The following is a 16,507-nucleotide window of genomic DNA, read 5'->3' as shown; positions in this document are numbered from 1 at the left end:
ATAGGAGTGAAAAATGTGAGGCAAATATAAAGATACGGAACTTAAAATACGAAGTACAGGTTTCACTAGGCTTCCTATGGGAAACAGAACAGGACAGATACGCCTTAACATTATCGACCCTATGCTATGAATAGGACACTTGGGACACTAGACTCCTACCCTAGGTGTCATGAGGATACGGGGGCCCAAAGAATGACAGTAATTTGCTCAAGGCCATAGAAGATAAAATGTTGCTGAATGGTGGTCCATAGAGGACAATTCTGTGTTTTATTTTTTATTTTTGGAGATGGAGTCTCATGCTGTCACCCAGGCTGGAGTGCAGTGGCACAATCTCACCTCACTGCAACCTCTGCCTCCCGGTTCAAGTGATTCTCCTGCCTCAGCCTCCCGAGTAGCTGCGATTACAGGTGCCTGTCACCACGCCTAGCTAATTTTTTGTATTTTTAGTAGAGACAGGGTTTCATCATATTGGTCAGGCTGGTCTCGAACTCCTGACCTCATGATCCGCCCAACTCAGCCTCCCAAGGTGCTGGGATTACAAATGTGAGCCACCGTGCCTGGCCCAATTCTGCCTTTTAAATATCACTGCACAACAAATGACCCCAAAACTTAGCAGCTTAAAACAGCAAACATTTATTATCTCACAGTTTCTGTGGGTCGGGAATCCAGGAGCCTCTTAGCTAGGTGCCTCTGACTTGGGTGTCGGAAGGGCCACAGCATCCCAAGGCTCCTCTGGGGGAGGGTCTGCTCCCAGCCCTGTGCCTGTGGCTGCTGGTGGGCCTCAGATCCTCCCTGGCTGTTGGCTGGAGACTTCAGTTCCTTGCTCTGTTGCTCTCTCAGTCAGAGAGTTTACAACAACATGGCAGCTGGCTTTCCTCAGAGGCAAAAAGCAGCCAAGACAGAAACAGCAGTCTTTTAAAATCTAAGCTAAAAGTGACATCCCATCATTTTTGCTGTATTTGTCGAGTCACTAGGTGCAGCCCACACTGAAGGGGAGTGGATTCCATGGGGGCATGAGAACATGAAAGCCAGGAGGGGGGACCACATCAGTGGCCATCTAAGAGGCTGCCTACTGCAGCGGGCAAGTGCACTTCCAGGATAAAAACCACGAAGGGAAGAGGTCAGGGATGGAGGTTGAGTTCCTTGGGCATGGAAGATGGGAGACAGCAGAGTAGGGGGGGCCTAGGAAGGGGCAGCTAGGGGATGCAAAAGGGGGAAGAGAGGGGAGGAAAGATAAATGTGAGAAGGAAATAGTAGCAGAGAAGAAAGAGAACCTCCTGGTAGCGTGGGAACAGGAAAATGGCTGGGGGTGGGAACTGGGGAGCTGGGATGAAAGACATAAATTGCAAGAAAACAGAGAAAATAGGAAACGGAATGAGAAATGAACAGGAGGTGTAAGAAGGTATAGAGACCAGTGGGAGGAGTAGGAATAGGGGGAGAAAGAGAGCCAGAAGCAAGAGGCAAAGAGCGTAAGCAGACAGTGCAAGAGAATGGGGAGAAAATTGTTAGTGAGTGGCAAGCTGGGGGGAAAGTGATGATAGGAAAACTCTATAGGAGAGATGGAGAAATGCGAGCTATTTTAGGGCCGGGGGCGAAGGTGGCAACTGGGTAAAAATGACAATAATAAGAAGGATTTTTTGAGTACTAAGAATTTCATGTGTTACCTCATTTAGTCTTCATCACCAGCCAACACTGTAGATGCTGTTATTTATAGTATTTTAGAGATGAAGACATTGAATTTTAAAAGGATTAAGTACCTGCCTGAGGCTGTGCAACCAGAATGTGGCTGCAGGTGTATGGAAGCAAGGCCAGGCATCTTCTTGCCAGGCAACCAGGCTCAGCTTGCAAAGTCAGGTTGGCCAAGGCAGACGGGACTGCACAGTGGGGCGGTTTACTCCCTTATCCTAACCATACATGGATGTCAGCTCCTGTCTCATCTGCGAACCCCTGAGTCCTAGCACAGATTAGGAAGGATAGATTCCTCACCTGTGGCAGCAAGCTTATCAGGGCATGAGGGCCAGGGTGAGTGCCTCAGTTTATCACATGGACCCACATATTAAAATAAAATATCTCTGCTATACTGTGTAATGGTTTCTTCACGTTTGCATTGCTCAGAGCCATGAGGGCACTTGTTCTTCAAATCCCCTACAGTGCCTTGCACTGCCTTAAGCAGGCATTTAAAAAATAAAAAACTTTGTGAAACGAAACATTTGCTTCTACCAAATTCAATGAGAAATGCTGCTGCAGCGAAGTGGAAAAGTCTGGCTCTGTCCCCCAGGCTCAGTTCTTCAGCTGCTGTTGAACTCTCGGTAAATTACCTAACTACACTAGAATGCAATATTCTTACTAGTAAAACAAGTTGGCTAAATGATCTTTAAGGTTTTTTCTAGCTCTGAAATGTCACAAATTACATAGCCAGGACAAGAATTAGGAATCAAAATGGAAATGGTCAATGGATCTGATAACGGATGCAGGCTACCATTTAGGCAGACCTGATATACAACTGTTCTGGGTTCCACGTTGCCCAGATGCCAACTCATTAATATGGATCTCAAGAAGTTCAGCTCAACTCTCTTGTGGCATCTGTGTGCAATAGAGACTCCATGAGCTTAATTTTCTTCATTACCAAGATCCCTTTCCGATGCTATGTTAGGAACCTAGAGAGACTTAAAAACTCTCAAAGCAATAGGAGCTTGAGTAGGGTATGATTGGTTCAGCTGCCAGAGTGCCATTAGGGATAAATAGAGCAGCAGGACTCACTGGGGACAAGAAGATCCAGAACTTCCAAGAGATGTTGATGGAATTAAGATGGCTGGATTGAATCACACTTTCAGTTGTGAGTGTGTTTGGAGGTGGTGCCTAGGAATAAAAGACACAGCTCAGAGTTACACCATCTGAGGGCGAGGGAGCTGGGGTATTTATATACCAACTCCCTCAGTCATTGGTCGAGGGCTGCTCAGGGGTGAGGGTGGGTGGTCATTTCTCAGCACTTCTGCCTGCATGGGCAGAGACTACCAAAACCCAAGAAAGCTATCAGGGGAAGATATATAAGTGCTGGCAGTTGGAAGCCAAGCCAGTGTGTGCTGAAATGTAGAGGCTGAGAGGCTGTGGGCAGGACACCAGCAACATCTGCTGCACTTAGCTCCCTGGAGCACGTGAGAGGAAGTCGACTCTCTCTGTTGCTCCTGAGAATCACCACCAGCTTTTATTGGTAAATGTCTTCTATGTGCATTTTCTACAAACCAAAAAAAAAAAAAGAAAGAAAGAAAGAAAGAAAAATGGCTTTTAGAGACTTGTCATTAGGGAAATGAAGTATTTTCCCTCAAAAACAGGCATCACATACCCCCATTTGGCCCCTGCCCACTTGGGCACTTTACAGATGGTTTCCCTGCCACACCATAGTCCATGAGGTACCCAGGGATATGTAGACACTTTCAAAAAGCATCTAAGGGGCGAGCCTATGCCAAACATGAGAAGCCACTGCTGGTGGTTTAAAGACCATATTGAAAATAAAGGCTGTACATGTTAGCATCTATATCCTCTATCCACTGAAAATGATGGGTGGGGACATTTTGAAAAGGATTTTTATTAATCTATTTATTGTGGTCACTGGCTCCATTTCCTCATATTTCTACATAAAGAAATATTTTGAGGGAAAACACTTCACTTTTCTAATAAGTCTTTACAACCCTTTTTAGGTTTGCAGAAAATGCACATAGAAGACAATGTGTGTCTTAAGCACAATAAAATGCTGGTGGTGATTCTCGGGAGCAATGGAGAGTTGACTTCTCACATGCTCCGGGGAGCTAAGGGTAGCAGATGTTGGGTGTCCTGGCCACAGCCTCCCAGCCTCTACATTTCAGCATACACTGGCTTGGCTTCCAACTATCAGCACTTAACATCTCTGCCTGAGAGCTTTCTTGGGTTTTGGTAGTCCCTGCCCATGTAGAAGGCAGAAGTGCTGGGAAATGGCAACTCACTCCCACCCCTGAGCAGCCCTTGACTAATGACTGAAGGAGTTGGTATATAAATACCCCAGCTCCCTCGCCCTTAGGTGGTATAACTCTGAGGTGTGTCTTCTATGCTGCCTCCCAGGGATCCTTGGCAGGATTTAGCCCCACTTACCCACAGTAGTAACCTATTTGATGTTGTATCTCTTATTGATGTCCTTCCCTTCCCTGTACCACTTCCTCACATCCCACTGGTGTTTCCTGACATTACTCCCGAGTAAACCATTTGCACTTAAACTCTTATCTCAGGGTGTGCTATGGGGGAACTCAAACTTCTACTAGGGCAATGGGAAGGAACAGAGAAAATAATTGTTATTTAAAGAAGGATTTCTGTAAGCAATGTGTTCCCATGGTACATTTCAAAATTTATTTATAGCTCATTACCTTCCTTTACAAAAATGCTACGGGATAGATTAGGTAAGAAGTGCTGCCAACTAAAGGCCAGTCAGAAATGAAGATAAAACAGCTGGGCACGGTGGCTCATGCCTGTAATCCCAGCACTTTGGGAGGCCGGGGTGGGCAGATCATGAGGTCAGGAGATCGAGACCATCTCGGCTAACACCATGAAACCCTGTCTCTACTAAAAATACAAAAAATTAGCCGGGTGGGGTGGCAGGCGCCTGTAGTCCCAGCTACTCAGGAGGCTGAGGCAGGGAGAATGGGGTGAACCCAGGAGGCAGAGTTTGCAGCGAGCCGAGATCGCACCACTGCACTCCAGCCTGGGTGACAGAGCGAGACTCTGTCTCAAAAAAAAAAGAAAGAAAGAAAGAAAGAAAGAAAGAAAGAAAGAAAGAAAGAAAGAAAGAAAGAAAGAAAGAAAGAAAGGAAGGAAGGAAGATAAAACATCTCCGAAATAGTCACGAAGGCTACTAAGAACATTGGCTTGATGTACAAAAATTCTGTTGACTTATGACTTCCCTTTGTTGTGAGCAATGCAACATACCTTTAGTAATAACCATTTGCAGCATCCCTTGAGACCCATGTCCATGTAGTCACCTGGAAATAACATATGACAGGGGACAGGGCCTCTTCAGAGCAGACAATGCTGTGGCTTGGTAGTGCCCACAGTGGATCGTCTGGTTTGCCTCCAAGCAGCATCTGGCCCCAAGGCTGCCCAAGTGCAAATGAATGGGGGATAGAGGAGCATAGATGTTGTAACTTGAAGGGCAACTGAAGAGGAAGCAGCTTACAGCATGTGGGCTCAATTTTCCCCAAAAAGCTCATAATATAACTGTCAAAAATGACACTATGAACCCAAATTATAAGATAATTGCGTTCGGTCCCAAATTCAACACAATAAAGGTTATTTGCTCTCATGCCTTAGCAACCATCTCATAGAGGAGAGAAAAATACCATACAAAAACAAAATGTAAACTCGCAAAGCAGTAATAAAACCAGCACACAACTATTCATTTCAAGTCTATTTTGAAAAGCCTTTGATAATACCAGTAATTCCCCGTAAAGCTTCTATTCTCTTGCCACAATTCCCTTCTGGAAATAGAAGAAGGTTTTGCTGTTCTACAGCCATTCCTTTTAGGGAGATAAAGTCTAAAGTCCACTTTATTTCCCAATTTTAATGTTTTCCATTCTTTAAAAAGAAAGAAAGAGAGAGAGAAAGAAATCCCTGATCACCTATATCCAGCTAAGCCTCCCATATAGGTAGGGCTTAGTGGCAATATTAACGTGAATCTTCCTTGTCTTGCACCACAAAATTCATTTAATGGTCTTAACAAGGTGCTTAAGCTAGCCAGAGAGCCTTGTCCAAAAGATGCTGAAACATTCCACTAAAAAATAGAAAATTCAACCAACATCCACCCATTTCCAGATATTCTGATGCTTCATAGCATGCAGGCTGGGTGATAGCCCTTTGACGTCCTGGCTGAGCAGTTCCTCCAGGTGCCACTGGCAGGCCTATCCTACAGCAGAGGCCAGAAGGAAAGGGCTTGGGGTAACTTTGGTTGCAAGAACAGAAATCTACTTAGACAAATTAAAGTATGAGGAGGACGGTGGACTCCAAGGAACCTCATGGACTCCAAGGAAAAGCTGAGCGATCAGGCCTCAGGAAGAGTGGGAACCAGCAGCTGTCACTCTTGGGGAGGGATGTGGTAGAGAAAAGAGACAGAAACACCTAGAAGGGTGTGCATGCATGGGCAATGATTAGATTCTTTGATACAGGAAGACAAAGAGGAAAATATAGAAGAGGAATAGAAGGTGGGGAAAGAAGTACAATAATAGGAATCAAAGAGAAATGGAAGAGATGCATAACCTGAGGAGTCATGACATGTCATCACAATGGCTTCAGCAAGCAGTCAGCAGCTCACTGGTGCTAGGCATTTGCTGTCCCTGACATAGAACCAACCTGCATAATACACAGAGGTTGCAAATACCAAGCCCTTCTGATTTACCTGAATTGGTCATTCTGGTTTACATGGAATTATGGACTATTTTCAAAAAGACAAAGTTGTATTGGTTGACAGGATGTGCATGGTCTCAATGAAGATCTTGATGAAAAAGTCTGGGTGACTTTTTATACTTAAGCTTTAACAGAAATAATTCATAATTGTATTTTGGGGGCTTGGATATGGACATCAGTTTGTTTCACCAGGCTTATTTTTACATTTGTGGTAGACATTCTTCGTCCCAAGATATATGTCTTAAACTTTAATAAACTCATTCTGAAATTCCACTTCAATTTTTGTCAGAAATGTTTCTTCAATATGCATGACTTTTGGCCAGCCGTGGTGGCTCACACCTGTAATCCCAGCACTTTGGGAGGCCAAGGCAGGTGGATCACTTGAGACCAGGAGTTCAAGACCAGCCTGGCCAATATGGTGAAACCCCATCTCTACTAAAAGCACACAAATTAGCCAGGTGTGGTGGCAGGTGCCTGTAATCCCAGCTACTTGGGAGGCTGAGGCATGAGAATCACTTGAACCCAGGAGGCAGAGGTCACAGTGAGCTGAGATTGCGCCACTGCACCCCAGCCTGGGCAACAGAGTGAGACTCCATCTAAAAAAAAAAAAAAAAAAAAAAAAAAAAATATATATATATATATATATATATATATATATATATATATATATATAGATACACACACGTGTATCTATCTATCTATCTATATATACACACACATATATATACACATATGTGTATATATATTTTAATATATGTTTATATATGTATACATATATGTATGATTTATACATATTCACACATATATGTATGATTTTTGTTTTGTTTTGTTTTTCAAAGACAAAGTCTCATTCTGTTGCCAGGCTGGAGTTGCAGAGGTGTGATCATGACTCACTGCAGCCTCAACCTCCTGGGCTCCAGCAATTCTCCTCCTTCAGTTCCCAAGTAGCTGGGACTACAGGTACATGCCACTATGCCCAGCTAATTAAAAAAATTTTTTGTAGAGATGTGGTCTCGCTGTGTTAACTAGGCTGGTCTTGAACTCCTGAACTCAGATGATCCTCCCCACTTGACTTCCCAGAGCACTGGGATTATAGGTGTGAGCCACCACGCCCAGCCTGTATGATGTTAAAGGCACTCTGCTAAGCACTTAACATAGATACACAGTTGAATAAGACACAGCCCTGTCTTCATGGAGCTTGTAAATTGAAAGTGGAGGGGATGGGTGGAAGACGAATTAGACATAATAGACATATACATCAGTAACCGTAAAGCAATAAAGACTATTATCTATGTCAAAGCAGGCTGTTCTTGAACCTTTCCCACCTCTCTGAATGGAACCCTTGACTCCCTCCTCTTCCACATCCCCCCAGTCTCCTTCTATCTAAGTCCTAACCTTTCCTCCTACCCATTCCATAACCTTACAGCCTCGTCAGATCCTTCTGTAGCAGGTGATCTCTTTGGAACCTCTCCAGTCTTTGTTCTCTCCAGTATGTTGGAAGTTATTACTAGAAGCTGAATATATCTTCACAACACCCTGACTGTCCTAGCCCAGTGGAAATTGTTCAGGGAGATCCTGAACTGTGGGAATTTGCCGGAACTAATGGGCACCTGGACTCCTTTTCCTGCTCAGACACTTACTCACTAAGATTTCACTTGTGGACTCAGTCAGGACTTCACATTTCTGTTTCCTCTCATAAGAGTTCACAATGCTTTAATCAGGGTGGAATGTACATAAATGTGCATGTACGTGTGTGTGTGTGTGTGTGTGTGTGTGCACGTGCGTGCGCACACACCAGAGGGGGAAGGTAACTCTGATGGACTTTCCAACCTTTCATTCCCACTCTTGCCTTCCTGTCCACAGCCACCTCTCAAAATCCAGGTGGGAGACTGCCCCACACCACCCAGGTGTTGACAGGATCTCATGTCTTTAGCACTTCCTCCAGCAGCCCTGTCTTGGGAGGGAGGCTGAGCCAGGTGACTGGGGAGATGCTCCATGGCTGGCCGCATGGGAGGGAGTGTTGTCCTAGAAACCCAGTCCCTGGAGGTAGATTTGGATACAAAAGTTTCTGCCCCCATTCCCTCTGCCCTGATTCCAGGAGTGGCAGGGATTGAATCTCAGCATTTTCTAGTCTGCCTGTTATCAGTGTCAATGCTTTCCTGTCACCCAAAGGTCCTCACCAGATACCTCTGGCCTGCAGCCCCGGTGCCATGGGGGTAGTGATAAACCCTTATTGCCTTCAGCCTACAGACCCTGGCCAAAAGATTCTGATTCTTATCAGAGGCTGAAGGACAGGTTTTACCAGAAGTTCCTATCCCCCAGCTTGAAAAACAAGTTCATCCACTCCTTTACTCCACACGCTGGAGTTCTACCCTATTCTTGAGAAAAGGTCAACACCCCACCTCCACAATGACTCTGGAACTCACAGTGGGGTCCCAATGTGGATGCTGGTCTCTACAGTGATTTTTTGTGTGTGTGAGACTGAATCTCACTCTGTCACCCAGGCCGGAGTGCAGTGGTGCGATCTCGGCTCACTGCAACCTCTGCCTCCTGGGTTCAAGCACCTAAAGTGATTCTGACCAGCTGTGACAGTGTGCCTGGGACTGAAGGTTTCCTGGGACTTGAGATTTTCAGTGCTAAAAGTAGGAAAGCCCCAAGCAAACTGAGATGAGTTGATCCTACGACCTAGAACAGATCCCTGGACCTTGTAAACCAGTTACCCACCCTCCATGGGACCTACAGCTTTGCAAAAGCCTATAAGGGGACAAAGAAAAAGTGAGACCTGGAACAGCAGGCTGCAGCTGTCCTTTGCCTTATTCAGAACTTTTGCTGTGTTCAGAACTGTCGTGTGCACATAGGATAGTCTTTGCTCCCCTAAACTTGGATGGGAAGGAGTGAGGAGGAACAGGAACCGCTGGCATCCAAAAAGAGGCTGTGGCTGCATCTCTGGGCCATGTTTTATTTTTCTGGAATCCTTAGTGGCACAGTATCTAAAGAGAGATCATGCATGTGCTCTGGGACCCTTAACTGTTTTAAAACCTCTATCTTGGCCAGGCGCAGTGGCTCATGCCTGTAATCCCAGCACTTTGGGAGGCCGAGGTGGGTGGATCACCTGAGGTCAGGAGTTCGAGACTAGCCTGGCCAACATGGTGAAACCCCATCTCTACTAAAAATACAAAATTAGCCAGGTGTGGTGGCACATGCCTGTAATCCCAGCTACTTAGGAAGCTGAAGCAGGAGAATCGCTTGAACCTGGGAGGTGGAGGTTACAGTGAGCCGAGACCACGCCATTGCACTCCAGCCTGGGCAACAAGAGCGAAACTCCATCACAAAAAAACAAACAAACACACAAAAACCCCTCTATCTCTATGTAGAGTGGCGCTAGAATATGCCCTGATTTGGATCAAATCATTGGGCTTGCCTCTTCTGGAGAGATGTGAGTTTCCTCTGTCTTAGAAGCCTCTGCTGTGTAAGTATCCACGGGATTTGTGGTCAAGAGATCTGAGCTTTAATCTTTTTAAAGATCTCTGTGATTGATTCATGGGAAAACACTTAATTTCTCAGCTCTGCACCTGTAAAATTGATTGAACTAAGCTTCTGTGATTAAGATTTCTTCTGGCTTTGTGGTTCATCTCTTTCCCTCTACACACACACACACACACACACACACACACACACACACACGCCATATTCCACTGTATTTCTGGCCATTAACTCTCAGTGCCATACCAAGCCATATTGGAACCTGAGGCCAAAAGAAAAAATTAGTAATGCGAGTCCTCTCTTTATTTAAAATGTTCACATTTTGTTCATCGTGGGTTTTTTTTTTTTTTGCATTAACTCAGATTTTTAAAATATTTCATTAAAATGTTCCTCTTAATCTCCAGACATAGAAAAAGACCCTGAAGTCCCTGGATATGCTGGCTGCCAACATTATGAAATACAGTGTGGCGAGCTGGAACACAAGGTCCTTGTTGACATTGAATTACCGAAGAAAACTCCCCTATCTCTGGCCACTATGCGGCTTGCAAAGCATAAAATATGTACTATCTGGCACTTTACAGAAAAAGTTTGCTAACCTCTTATGCCAAGCAATTCTGAGTCAAATTTCCTGTTACTTGCAACCATAAAAAATCTGAGTATTACACTCCCCTGAACTCTGGCAGCACCAAAGTACTTGATGATACTCAAAGAGGAAATGTATAAGGGCCCCCATCAATTTATTCATGCTGTTTCCTTGGCCTAAAATGCAACACCCTCCATGTGACTATACAGTTGCCCCTCAGTATCCAGCAGGCATTAGTTTCACGACCCCTCACAGATACCAAAATCCACATACGCTCAAGTCTATTCTGTAAAATGGTATAGTACTCACATATAACCTATGCACGCCCTCTCATGTACTTTAAATCATCCTTAGGTCACTAAAGTATCTAATATGATGTAAATGCTATGTAAATAGTTGCTATACTGTACTGCTTTCTTATTTTTTTTTTTTTTTTAGATGGAGTCTCGCTCTTGTCACCCAGGCTAGAGTACAATGGCGCAATCTCAGCTCACTGCAACCTCTGCCTCCTAGGTTCAAGGAATTCTCCTGCCCCAGTTTCCTGAGTAGCTGAGATTACAGGTGCCTGCGACCATGCCTGGCTAATTTTTGTATTTTTAGTAGAGACAGGGCTTCACCATGTTGGCCAGGCTGGTCTTGACTTCCTGACCTCAGGTGATCTGCCTGCCTCGATCTCCCAAAGTGTTGGGATTACAGGTGTGAGCCACTGTGCCTGGCCTTATTTGTATTATTTGTTCTTATTGGGTTTTTTCCTGAATATTTTTGGTCTGCAGTACTGAACTTTTGGAGTCCCCTTAAGTTGTGTGCTCACTGGCCTCACCCTACTTCCAGCCCTGTTAACCTTCCTCTGCATCTGGGTGAGTTGCTTGATGACAGAAGGAGGGAAAACACAGACAGAAAGAAGAGACTAAATACCAGCCACTTTATAAGATCCCCTGGGGTTAGGGCTAGCCATAATGGTTATTTTATTTATTTATTTATTTATTTATTTATTTTTTCCTTCGAGATGGAGTCTCGCTCTGTCACCAGGCTGGAGTGCAGTGGTGTGATCTCGGCTCACTGCAACCTCCGCTTCCCAGATTCAAGCAATTCCCCTGCCTCAGCCTCCCGAGTAGCTGGGACTACGGGTACGCGCCACCATACCCAGCTAATTTTTGTCTTATTAGTAGAGACGAGGTTTTACCAAGTTGGCCAGGCTGGTCTCCAACTCTGTGATCCACTTGCCTCAGCCTCCCAAAGTGCTAGGATTACAGGTGTGAGCCACTGCGCCCAGCCCAAAACCTTATTTTTTAAAGTTAAGAAAATAAAAACACAACCAGATTGAAAACCAGAAAACAAAAAAACAATTATTTTGGCAAAATGTTACCAGATAATAAAAAAGAAATTCGGGTTTCATTTCTTGCGTTTTCCTCGCAGAGTCAAAAAGAGCAGAAAGAGTTAAGACTTAGACAAATGAGCCTCCTGGGACCCAGAAGATTCCAGAACATCCCTACCCTGGGGAGGGCCACATGCCAGACTCACCCATTCCTTGACCTAACAAACCAAAGGCTGTGGGCAACCTGCTGCCTTGCAGTGGGACCTGCAGGTCATCTTCAAATTGTACTAAGCTGGGCTCGGGAGGAGCAGAGGGCATGGAACTGAAGCATTCTTCCTGATCATGCTGCATTAGAGGACATCACAAAAAAATGCATTGCTTTCAACGAGTGCATTAATAAAGACGAAGCTATGAAATGGATTTGTGCTGAAGCCCTCCCTGGCAAGCATTTATCAAATAAATAAGCAAGAATTGGTGTTCAGGGCCAGGCACGGTGTCTCACGCCTGTAATCCCAGCATTTTGGGAGTCCAAGGCAGGTGAATCACTTGAGGTCAGGGGTTTGAGACCAGCTTGGCCAACATGGCAAAAACCTGTCTCTACTAAAAATACAAAAATTAGCTGGGTGTGATGGCGTGCACCTGTAATCCCAGCTACTTGGGAGAATTGCTTAAACCCAGGAGGTGGAGGTTGCTCACTGCACTCCAGCCTGGGCAACAGAGTGAGACTCTGTCTCAAAATAAATAAATAAATACATAATTTAAAAAAAGAAAAGAACTGGTATTTGGGTGCTATAGTTCAGGAAAGACCCAGATAGGATTGTCTTCTTTGGCCACTAACTGGCTGTGTGCCCTTGGACAAACCATTCACCCTCTCTGTACTTCATTTTCTTCAACTGTAAAAGAGGCTATGGATGAGATCACTGCTACAGTCTCTTCTACCCCTGATGTTATATAGAAGGTGCTGTATGAAAAGGGCGGGGGGAAATTTTGTTTGCTGAACCTTCCCTCCTGCTGTCTTTGTGCCCTACTGGGCATTTTTTCGCAGAAAATGTCAAATTCTTAATCAGTAGGTTTCAAAACGTGAAGCCTCCAAAGCTTTACTGTACATCTGGGAAGAATGAAGTTTTACCTTTTAAAGCAGAGAAATGGAGTTTGCTTAGGATTCTAACTGAAACAAGTCACGCCCCCACAGAAATGAAATGGAAGCATGAAAGATTGTGAAAATCTGGGACTCTGCACAAGCAAAGAACAAGTACTGTGTTGGTATTTTTTAAAAAAGATTTTCATTTCATATGCAACACCTTTGTGCTTCCTTTATGTATTTCTCCCTCTCTTTTCCAGCTCTACAATGAGCTATTTTAAGACTATGTTTTCCTGCTGTACAGTACTCCTGTTCAGATAGGCAATTTAATTGTCATCAGACTTTTTCTTAGTCTTTCAAGACCTTTTGTTATGGTGAAATAATTTTAGGCACACCAAGCACAAATCCATTAAATACTTTCCTTATTTCACTAATGAACTATTGTGGGTGGTGGAAATTAATTTTATTCCACTCACATATCTGTTAAATTTTTAAAGGTGAAAAATGAAGGTTGCAAATAACTGAAGTCGAATGAGAGACTCCTCTTAAAACATTGTCTGTTGTTTCATTTGTGCCGAGATGTGTCAAAAAAATCTACAAAAATAGTTCACAAAATGAAAAGGGTTCAACAGGTCCAATCTCAGGGTTGAATATTGCAAAACTTTTTACAGGCTGGATATGCTTAGGAATTGAAAGGCCCCTCTGTTAATGGATCTGAAGAGAGTTTTCTGAGTGGGTGTGTTTAAGCTCATCCCCGTGGGCAGATCAGATATTAGCACACTTGTTTAAAGCCTGGTAGTGATGATACGAAGGTCCTGGACTGACCTGCTGTACAACTCAGCCGTTGTTGCTCCACATCACGGCTCAGGCTCTAGCCCTAACACCTCTCTGCCATTTTACTTTATTATTTTTATTTTTTTGAGACAGAGTCTCACTCTGTCACCAAGGCTGGAGTGCAGTGGGGCAATCTCAGCTCACTGCAACCTCTGCCTCCCGAGTTCAAGCGATTCTTGCACCTCAGCCTCCTGAGTAGCTGGTTTACAGGCATCTGCCACCATACCCAGGTAGGTGATTTTTGTAGTTTTAGTAGAGACAGCGTTTCACCATGTTGGCCAGGCTGGTCTTGAACTCCTGACCTCAAATGATCCGCCTGCCTTGGCCTCCCAAAGTGTTGGGATTACAGGCGTGAGTCACTGAGCCCAGCCTCTCTGCCATTTTAAACATTTCTATCAAAGGCCACAAAGGAGAAGGGGAGAGGATGTGGAGGCAGTCAGGTAAATCCTTCCCCAAAGCATGGAAAGGGTCTCCAAGCCCAGGCTGTACTAACTGAGGACCAGGAACGCCACTTTGACAAGCAGGGGGCAATACATTATAATCACGACAGGTCAGACCCATTAACTCTGCTTGAAAGGTATTTTGAAAACAGAATTTATCCCCATCACATGGGGGAAGTTGGGGGAGGACGTGCCTTCAGAGAAAAAGGGCAAACACCACAGCTCAAAAGACAAAGTTCTCTTCCAGGAGACAGACCCAGTGCCACAAGGCAAGGAGGGTCAGAGTCCTGTCCCTGAAGATAAATGTCTCCAGAACGAAGGAGGACCTTGATAAATGTGCAGTTGGAATAGACTGTTAAGTGCTTCCTTATTTATAATCTGTCCCTTTCAGAGCCAACTCAGATTCATGTCAGCGCCTTAGGTAGAAGCAGCAGCTTGCTGATTTTTCTTTAGTCAGATTTAATTCCAATTTCGGCTTCTAAATGTGTGCCACCTGCTCCATGGGCTTCCATGAGCCTGCGCTTTAACCCTCTACTCTTTTTTCCTTTCTCTCTTCTTCCTGACTCCTTTTAATTTGTCTCCTTTTTTTTTTTTTTGAGATGGAGTCTCGCTCTGTCTCTGTCACCCAGACTGGAATGCAGTGGCACCATCTCAGCTCACTGTAACCTCTGCCTCCTGGGTTCAAGTAATCTTCCAGCCTCAGCCTCCCAAGTAGCTGGCCCAAACTCCATCAAGTGGTCCTCCTGCTTTGGCCTCCCAAAGTGCTGGGATTACAGGCATGAGCCACCACGCACAGCTCTCCTCCTTTCTTTCTAAACCCAAATAGCAGGTTGCTGAGAAGGCACACTAAATAAGTAAAAAGAATCCAGTCTCAAATAAAACAGACCAAAAAAAAAAAATCCCCAAATTCATGTTTTGTGGCCCTGAAGTAATTACTAAAAAGAATCTGGTGGAGTTCACACTGATTCTGAATTTAAGGTTTAACGACGTAACCAGTGACAGCTCAAAAAAATAAATGAATAAAAGGGGAATGATAAGGCAGTTGTCTTTTTTTTCAGTCTATGAAACTTATTGTTTCATTGTGCTTCCATACACACACTTACACGTACAATCAATCTGATGCCTTCTTTTTTTTATATTAAATGGCAGTGAGCCATGAAAGACTACAGAGAATTATAAGCAGAGTCTGCCTTAAAAAAAAAACCTCCTCCAGTGACAGTAAATTGGATAAATGCTATTTTTAGATGAAATATATCTAACTGATGTCCAGATGTGATTCTACCACATGAAGAGAAAAACAAATCTATCTAAAGCGCTGAACTGTACTTGAAAACATTTTTTAAATTTTCTGGTAATAATGACTTATAATGGAAAGACTGAGACGTTTGGAACTGACCAACAGCCTCTGCAGAGGGTCCCTCTGGAGCAACATCGGCACACATGGCTCCAATATGTAGATGATCCTGAGGTTTGCATTTCTGATTTAATTGTTACTAACTCTTAGGGATTGCAACTTGCAGTATATTTTCACATGAGCATAAGGAATAAAGCAGGAATGTATTAATCCATTCTCATACTGCTATAAAGAATGACCTGAGACTGCGTAATTTATGAAGAGGTTGAATTGACTCACAGTTCTGCAGGCTTAACAGGAAGCTTGACTGGAGGGCCTCAGGAAACTTACAATCGTAGTGGAAGGCGAAGGAGAAGCAAGCACCTTCTTTACAGGGTGGGCAGGAGAGCGAGCGAGCAAAGGGGGAAGACTTAAACCATCAGATTTCATGAGAACTCACTCACTATCACGAGAACAGCAAGGGGGAATTCTGCCCCTCCTCCAATTTGACATGAGATTTGGGTGGGGACACAAATCCAAACCGTATCAAAGAAGAACAGGTATCATGACTTCTGTGCTAAGCCAGTGGGTTAAAGAACTGATATGGTTCAGCTATGTCCCCACCCAAAATTGCATCTTGAATTGTAATCCTTATAATCCCCATCATCCTGTGTTGAGGGGAAGACCAGGTGGAGGTAATTGAATCATGGGGGCTGGTTCCCCATGCTCTTCTCATGGTAGTGAGTGGGTTCTCATGAGAACTAATGGTTTTACAAGGGGCTCTTCTCCCTTCGCTCGGCGCTTCTACTTCCTGCCACCTTGTGAAGAAAGTGCCTTGCGTCCCCTTTGCCTTCTGCTATGACTGTAAGTTTCCTGGGGCCTCCGCAGCCATCTGGAATTGTGAACCAATTAAACCTTTTTTTTTTTTTTTAATAAATTACCCAGTCTCAGGCAGTTCTTACAGCAGTGTGAAAATGGACGAATACAAGAACTTTTATTTATTTATGTATTTTGA

The 16,507-nt window shown here is 44.2% G+C and overlaps 2 annotated features.

Moving 5' to 3' along the window:
• Positions 251-750: an enhancer, noted in NCBI's record as "H3K27ac hESC enhancer chr17:60946407-60946906 (GRCh37/hg19 assembly coordinates)". NCBI's record gives its function as "activates a minimal SCP1, AML or CMV promoter by ChIP-STARR-seq in primed H9 embryonic stem cells {active_cell/tissue: H9 hESC(primed)}" and the evidence as "EXISTENCE:reporter gene assay evidence [ECO:0000049][PMID:30033119]".
• Positions 751-1,252: an enhancer, noted in NCBI's record as "H3K27ac hESC enhancer chr17:60945905-60946406 (GRCh37/hg19 assembly coordinates)". NCBI's record gives its function as "activates a minimal SCP1, AML or CMV promoter by ChIP-STARR-seq in primed H9 embryonic stem cells {active_cell/tissue: H9 hESC(primed)}" and the evidence as "EXISTENCE:reporter gene assay evidence [ECO:0000049][PMID:30033119]".

The sequence above is a fragment of the Homo sapiens genome, chromosome 17 (assembly GCF_000001405.40).
Source record: "Homo sapiens chromosome 17, GRCh38.p14 Primary Assembly".
In the NCBI taxonomy this organism is placed as follows: Eukaryota; Metazoa; Chordata; class Mammalia; order Primates; family Hominidae; genus Homo; species Homo sapiens.
Note: the sequence above shows the minus strand (reverse complement) of the source record. Positions and strands in the feature narration are given on the sequence as shown.